Raw genomic sequence first — 7,874 nt, 5'->3', positions numbered from 1 at the left:
TGGCCAAACACTCTGTTATCATCTATGTCACTTTTTCTCCCCCCCAGACTACTCTCTGGACAATTGGCCAAGGCAATGGTATTGCCATTGACAACATTACTAGGATGGAATTGAAAAACGTTACACAACAAAAAGTTTTTATTTGGAAACCTACGGCCACTAATTTCATATTCATCCAGCACCTAATCTTTTCCATTTTTTTAATGTATGATATTAGTTTTCCTTTAATTCAACCTCTTTCTTGTGAATATTTTTCATTTTTTCTACTTTCTGCAGTATTTGGCACAATGTGTGCTCACAGTAGGTGTTCAATAAATAATGCCATATGTGTGTGTCTATGTGCACTTAGATTAAAAGTTATTATTATATACTATAATCAGAAAACAAAGACAGTAAAACCTTGATTTAGACCTCCAATAATAGATTTAAAAGTTGAGGTTTAATGCTGTAAGTAGAAGGTTACTATTGGACCTTGAATAATGGAGCTTTATAACAAATTCACTTTGTGAAAGACATTTTCTTCCATAGATCATAGGTATAGTTTAAAAAAATATATTTTCAAAGAATCATGATCAGTTTTAAAAGTTTCCTGTTAGTTGTTTCCTTTCTTCAAGAATCAATCATATTCAAAGGGCTTGAAAAAAATCAACATTCAGCCAAGAGAAGATTGCTCTCTTTAAATAGAGCAATAGAGCAAAACAAAGTCTGCCTCTGTCTTGACTCTCCCCTCCACCATGACACAGACACATTTGTGCCCTCACCACAGCTTCTCAGGAGACTGGGCAGACCAAATCTAAGTAAGCCTGACTTGAGCATACTATCTCAGGAGCTGAGTTCAGTTACCTCATCAAAAAAAAAAAAATACTATGGGGTGTTATGTTAGACTGTTCTTGCACTGCTATAAGGAAATATCTGAGACTGGGTAATTACAAGAAAAGTGGTTTAATTGGCTCATGGTTCTGCAGGATTTTCAGGAAGCATGGTCCTGGCATCTGCTCTGCTTCCAAGGAAATCTCAGAAATGTTATGATCATAGTAGAAAATGGAGGGGAAGCAGGCACATCAGATGGCAAAAACAGGAAAAAGTGAGACAGTGGGGAGGAGGTACCATACACTTTTAAATGACAAGATCTCATGGGAACTCACTGACTATTGCAAGGACAGCACCAAGCCATGAGGAATCCACCTCCATGACCCAATGACCCAAACACCTTCCACTAGGCTCAACCTCCAACATTGGAGATTACATTTCAACGTGAGATTTGGTCAGGGACATACATCCAACCTATATCATTTTGCCCTTAGCTTCTCCCAAATCTCATGTCCTTCTCCCATTGATTGCAAAATACAATCATGCCTTCCCAATAGTCCTCCAAATCTTAACTCACTCCAGCATTAACTCAAAAGTTCAAAGTCCAAAGTTTCATCTGAGATAAAGAAAGGCAAGTCCCTTCCTTCCATAAGCCTGTAAAATCAAACAAGTTATTTACTTCCAAGATACAAGGGGTACAAGGGGTAAATTTTTAAAAAAATACAATAGGTAAACATTCCCGCTCCCAAAGGGAGAAATCAACCAAAAGAAAGGCTACAGGCCCCATGCAAGTTCAAAACCCAGCAGGGCAGTCATTACATCTTAAAGCTCCAAAATAATCTCCTTTGACTCCACATCCCACATCTAGGCCATACTGGTGCAAGAGGTCAGCTCCCAAAGCCTTGGGCAGCTCTACCCCTGTGGCTTTGCAGGGTTCAGCCCTCACAGTTGCTCTCACTGGTTGCTGAGTCCCTGTGACTTTCCAGATGCAGGGTGTAAGCTGCCAGTGGATCTACAATTTTGGGAGCTAGATGGCACTAGTCAGTGTCCCAGTGGGGACTCTTTGTGGGGTCTCTGACCCCACATTTCCTCTTGGCACTGCCCTAGTAGAGGTTCTCTGTGAGGGCTCTGCCCTTGCAGCAAGCTTCTGCCTGGGCACCCAGGCTTTCTCATACATCCTTTGAAATCTAGATGGAGGCTGTCAAGCATTCTTCACGTTTGCATTCTTCACACCTACAGGCTCAATAGCATATGGAAGACACCAAACTTATGGCTTGCATCCTCTAAAGGGGCAGACTGAGCTGTACCTAGGCTGCTTTGAGCCAAAGCTGGAGCTGGAGCAGCCAGGATTCTGGGAGCATTGTTTTGAGGCTGTGCATGTGTGTGAGGCCCTGGTCCTGGAAACCATTTTGCCCTCCTAGTCCACTGGGCCTGTGATGGGAGGGCCATTCGAGGCCTTTTCCCCATTGTCTTGGTTGTCAGCACTTGGATCCCTTCTATTTATGCTAATTTCTCTAGCAAGTAGTTTCTCCGCAGCTTCACCGAATTCCTCTCCCAAAAAAAGCTTTTTCCGTCTCTGCCACTTAACAGTTGCAAAATTTTCAAACTTTTACACTTTTCTTTCTTTTTAAATATAAGTTCTAACTTCTTTCTTTGCTCCTGCATCTGAGATAGGCTATTAAAAGCAGTCACACCTCTTCTTAAACACTTTGCTGCTTAGAAATTTCTCCCACCAGATACCCTAAATCTTCACTTTGAAGCTCAAACTTCAATAGATCTCTAGGGCTTGAACAGAATGCAGCCAAATTCTTTGCTAAGGCATAACATGTGTGACTTTTGCTTCAGTTTCCAGAAAGTTCCATGTTTCAAACTGAGGCCTTGTCAGTCCGGGCTTCCTTGTCCACATCACTATCAGCATTTTTGTAACAACCATCTAAACACTCTCGAAGAAATTCCAAAATTTCCCTCATCTTCCTGTCTTCTGTGCCCTCCAAACTCTTCCAAACTCTGTCTGTTACCTAGGTCCAAAGTAATTTCCACATCTTCAGGTATCTTTTTGCCCCACTCCTCAGTACCAATTTTCTGCATTAGGCCATTCTTGTGCTTCTATAAAGAAGTAACTGAGACTGGGTAATTTGTTAAAATAAAAGGTTTAATTGGCTCATGGTTCTGCAGGCTTTTCAGGAAGCTTGGGGCTAGCATCTGTTCTGTTTCTAGGGAGGCTTCAGGAAGTTTACAATCAGGGTGGAAGGCAAAGGGGAAGCAGGAACACCATATATGGCTAAAGCAGGAGAAAATGAGAGTGGGGAAAGAGGGGCCAAACACTTTTAAATGACCGGATCTCATGAGAACTCACTCAATATCACAAAGTTAGCTCCAAGCCATGAGGTATCAGTCCTCATGACCCAAACATTTCCCACCAGGCCACAACTCCAACATTGAGGACTATGTTTCCCCATGAGATTTGGGTGGAGACATATATCCAAACTATATCAGATGGAATACAAATGATCAAAAACTGGAAAGTAGCAAAAATAATAATAATAAGGATTCCACCAGGATGGAAAATTCAGGTAGGAATTATTTGAGACAAGATTACTACTTTGGTTTCTTGGTTATATTGATCGCAGTATGAGAAAGAAAGTTTTAAAAAGAAACGAAGAGGCTGGGCACGGTGGCTGACACCTGTAATCTCAGCACTTTGGGAGGCCGAGGCAGGTGGATCACGAGGTCAGGAGATCGAGACCATCCTGGCTAACACATTGAAACCCCGTCTCTACTAAAAATACAAAAAATTAGCCGGGAGTGGTGTCACATGCCTGTAGTCCCAGCTACTCGGGAGGCTGAGGCAGGAGAATGGCGCAAATCTGGGAGGCAGAGCTTGCAGTGAGCTGAGATCGCGCGCCACTACACTCCAGCCTAGGCGACAGAGTGAGACACCATCTCAAAAAAAAAAAAAAAAAAAAAAAAAAAGAAGATACATGTAGCATATGTGTACCTAGAAAAATAAGTTTTCTTATAAAAACCAATACAGCCAGAAAACAAAATATTAGGGAATGTTGCATAATAAAGAACTTGCCTGGCATTTGTCCTAGATTCATGCAAGGACATCAAAAACTTCTCCTTTGGGATTCTCCAAGACCTCACCTTCTGTGTCTCTTCACTTGGCTGGTCCTGATTCATATCCTTTTTATAATAAAACTGTGATTATAAGTATAGCACTTTCCTGAGTCACGTGAGTCATTTTAGTGAATTATTCAATCTAAGGGGGTAGTGGAGACCTCTGAGTTTGTAGCTAGTTAGTCACAATTGCGTGTGGCCTACAGATCCTTGGCACTTGCGGTAGGTGTCTGAAGAAAGAGGAGTCTTGTGGAGGACAGTTCCCAAAACCTGTGGAGTCTATGCTAACTGCAGGTAAATAATGCCAGAACTACATTGCAGGCTAACTAGTTAAGTTAGGGGAAAATACTAGTAGTTTAATTATTAATTTCTATTCATGAAGATTTTAATAAAACTTTTTAAAAGAATCCACACAAAAAGGAGTACTTTAGCTATAGCACTTATTCCATTACCATTTGCTGTGTCAGGCTGTGTTACTTATGTCACTTTATATTTTTTCTTCCCCTGCCTCCCTCATGAAAATGGAATAAATAACTCAATCTGAATTATAGTCATTTTGTGATAAGGTATGCTTATAACTGTGATTGGGAGCATTGACCATTTATAATAATAAAAAAAAAATTGTCAGCCTGACCTAAGCCATGGAAAAGAAAGAACAACTTTCTTTAACTCATAATTCTTGATCTTCCCATTCCTCTGTTGGAAAAGAGCAGTCTCCTATTTGCTTAGATAATCCTCTCCAATGCTCCATGATTATTTTTAATTTACTCAGTAAATTCAGCCTTCATTATAAAGTTAACCAAAACCAAATTTTGAATAAGTAAGCATATCCTAACATTTCCAGATCTGATTTAGGCCATTATCCATGTGTATCATTTGCATTGCCTGAAATTAAAATGATCCATACAGTTTTCAAAATTCTCATTCACAGCTGAGTAAAACAACAAAATGTCTTTCTCCTTTGACTGATACCAATGTATGTGAACAATAATTGAATAATCTACTCCAAACTATATTTTTATTGTTTTCTTTATGGTAAACATAACTTTTAATTTAATATAATTAACCAATAATGACTAATATGTACATCATACAGATTTCTAGTGTTTCCATTTTTCCTGATAAAATTCTTATTGACTTTTTTCTCCCTACAACAAATCTTTAACTTATAATCTTTCAAAGTCTTTTTAACTATGTGCACATATATGCATGTGCACACACATGCCCATTTCAATTCCAATTTCCTAAACCATGTACCTGCTACATCACTTGAATGTACTGGGGAAAGGAAGTTCAAAACAAATCTTCTAAGTTATTAAGATATCAAGATCCCTCACATCTTAATACAAGGTCCTTCCCTGTAGCAAGACTGAAAAAATAATAATAACGAAATCAACTGTCCTCTTTAATACCCCAAAGCCTGGGTCTTGAAATACAACAAATCACTGATTCTGAATAAGAACGTGGTCACCTACAAAGGATCCCTGTTAAATAATTTGTCCCTTACTGGCATTTCCTTTTCTCAGGCTTCCCTGTTTCTCAGAGAAATTGCCTTAAAAATATAGCTAACGACTTATAAAAAATTCTTCTTTAAGCCTCCAAACATTTCAGAAATAGTACATTCTTCATCAAATTACTCTGACCCAATTGCTCTGATGATCTTTTCTTTTCATCTCAATGGCAGACAACTATGAGTTTATCATGCAATTATATGGATACATACAATTATGGAAAAAGCGGCGATGTGAATACAGAGGTAGATTATACAATAGGTGTGAGATCAGGGATTGTCCATAAACAAATTGTCCAGCTTTTGGAGAATTTGATGGTAAGAAAGCTTAAGTAATTATCAGGTACTACAAAGCCATGGTGGCAGACACCAAGCCCAAATGTCAGCATATTTTCCTTTAAGTCTCAGTTTAAAAATAAATTTGATCAATAACCAAGAGCAAGGAATGGGCACATGTATATAAAAAGTTAAAATGATATCTTGACATTTCTTTTTTATATGATGAAGATATCATTAGCCAACTGCCATAAAATAATGCATTGCGCTATCTATATGAGGGGACAGCCCTATGTGGCTTTGACTCTGAAGGTCTTAAGAGTGAACTATCACACAAAGTTTTGAAAATTTCTAATTAAAGTGAAATAAATATCAGACATTCTTACACTATTCTAATTTGCACATGGTGGTAGCATCAAAAATGTTACCTTAATACTATATAAACTATTGTATATTTATAATATGAAAGTCCATAATATTCAGAAAACATTAGTAATTAAAACTAAATTACAAACCATTCTGATTTAGGAAAATATAAAGATTATAAATTACCATCTTAAATTAACCTTAAAGTGGGAAAATGCTGTTTTTTCTAGGTCTCTGGAAGGCTCATTTTAATAAATTCCCAAAACAAAGTTAGAAGGAAGTTCCAAGACCACCATCAATTCTGATACCAACTACAGGTTCAGGATCTTCAAGACCATTTTTAGGTTTGATAATTTGTTAGAAAGATTCACAGAAATCACTGAAAGTTGTTATACTGATCATTAAAGTTTATTGCAGATAAAAAATACAGGTTAAAATCAATCATGAGAAGAAAAGCATGGGACGAATCCATAAAAGTTCCCTATTCAGAGCTTCCCACTGTCCTCTTCCAGTGGAGTCATGGACAGCCTAACTTTTTGCAACAATGATGTGTGACAATATACATAGAGTATTGACAGCAAGGGAAGCTCATCTGAGCTTTGCGTCTATTTGAGTTTTTATTAGGGCTTCTGCACATGGACATAGTTCACTGCCCATGTGGCTGACCTTTAATCTCCTGATCAAGCTGACACCATGTGGCCCAAAGTCCTCATTATAAATCACATCATCAGACTATCTTGTGTGGCCCAAGGACCCCAGGTAAAAAAAAAAAAAAAAGACACTTTTTGAAAATAATTTCAACTTTTGTTTTAGATTTACAGGTACATGTGCAGGTTTGTTACATGCATATGTTACATGATGCTGAGGTTTGGGGTGTGATTGATCCCACCACACAGGTACTCGATAGTTCATTCTTCACCCCTTGTCCCCCTTCCTACCTCCCCCATCTAGTAGTCCCCAGTTTCTATTATTACCATCTTTAGGTCCATATGTTACCCAATGTTTAGCTCCCACTTGTGAGAACATGTTGTATTTTGTTTTCTGTTCCTGCATTAATTTGTTTAGCATAATGGTCTCCAGCTTCTCTTATGTTGTTGCAAAGGACATCATTTTGTTTCATTCTATGGCTGTGTAGTATTCCATAATTTATATGTACCACATTTTCTCAAGGCAATCCACCATTGATGGGCACCTAGGTTGATTTCATGTCTTTTTATTGTGAAAAGTGCTGCAATGAACATGTGAGTACATGTATCTTTTTTAGTAGAACAATTTATTTTCTTTTGGATATACACCAAGTAATGAGATTGCTGGGTCACAGGATAGTTCTAAGTTCTTTGAGAAATCTCCAAACTGCTTTGCACAGTGGCTGAACTAATTTACATTCTTACCAACAGCGTGTAAGCATTCTCTTTTCTCCACAGCCTCACTAGCATCTGTAGTTTTTAGAGTTTTTAGTAATAGGCATTTCAGACTGGTGTCAGATGGTATCTCATTGTGGTTTTGATTTGCATTTCTCTGATGATTAGTGACATGCAACATTTTTTCATATGTTTCTTGGCCACTTCTATGTCTTCTTTGGAGAAGTATCTGTTCATGTCTTCTGCCCATTTTAATGGGATTGTTTTTTGCTTGTTGAATTAAATTATTTAAGTTTCTCTTTTTTTTTTGAGAACAGAGTTTTGCTCTTGTTGCGCAGGCTGGAGTACAGTGGTGCAATCTCAGCTCACCACAACCTCCACCTCATGGGTTCAAGCAATTCTCCTGCCTCAGCCTCCAGAATAGCTGGGAT

Source organism: Homo sapiens, chromosome 3 (genome assembly GCF_000001405.40).
Source record: "Homo sapiens chromosome 3, GRCh38.p14 Primary Assembly".
Taxonomy (NCBI): domain Eukaryota; kingdom Metazoa; phylum Chordata; class Mammalia; order Primates; family Hominidae; genus Homo; species Homo sapiens.
The sequence above is the reverse complement of the archived record's forward strand: the minus strand, read 5'-3'. Positions refer to the sequence as shown.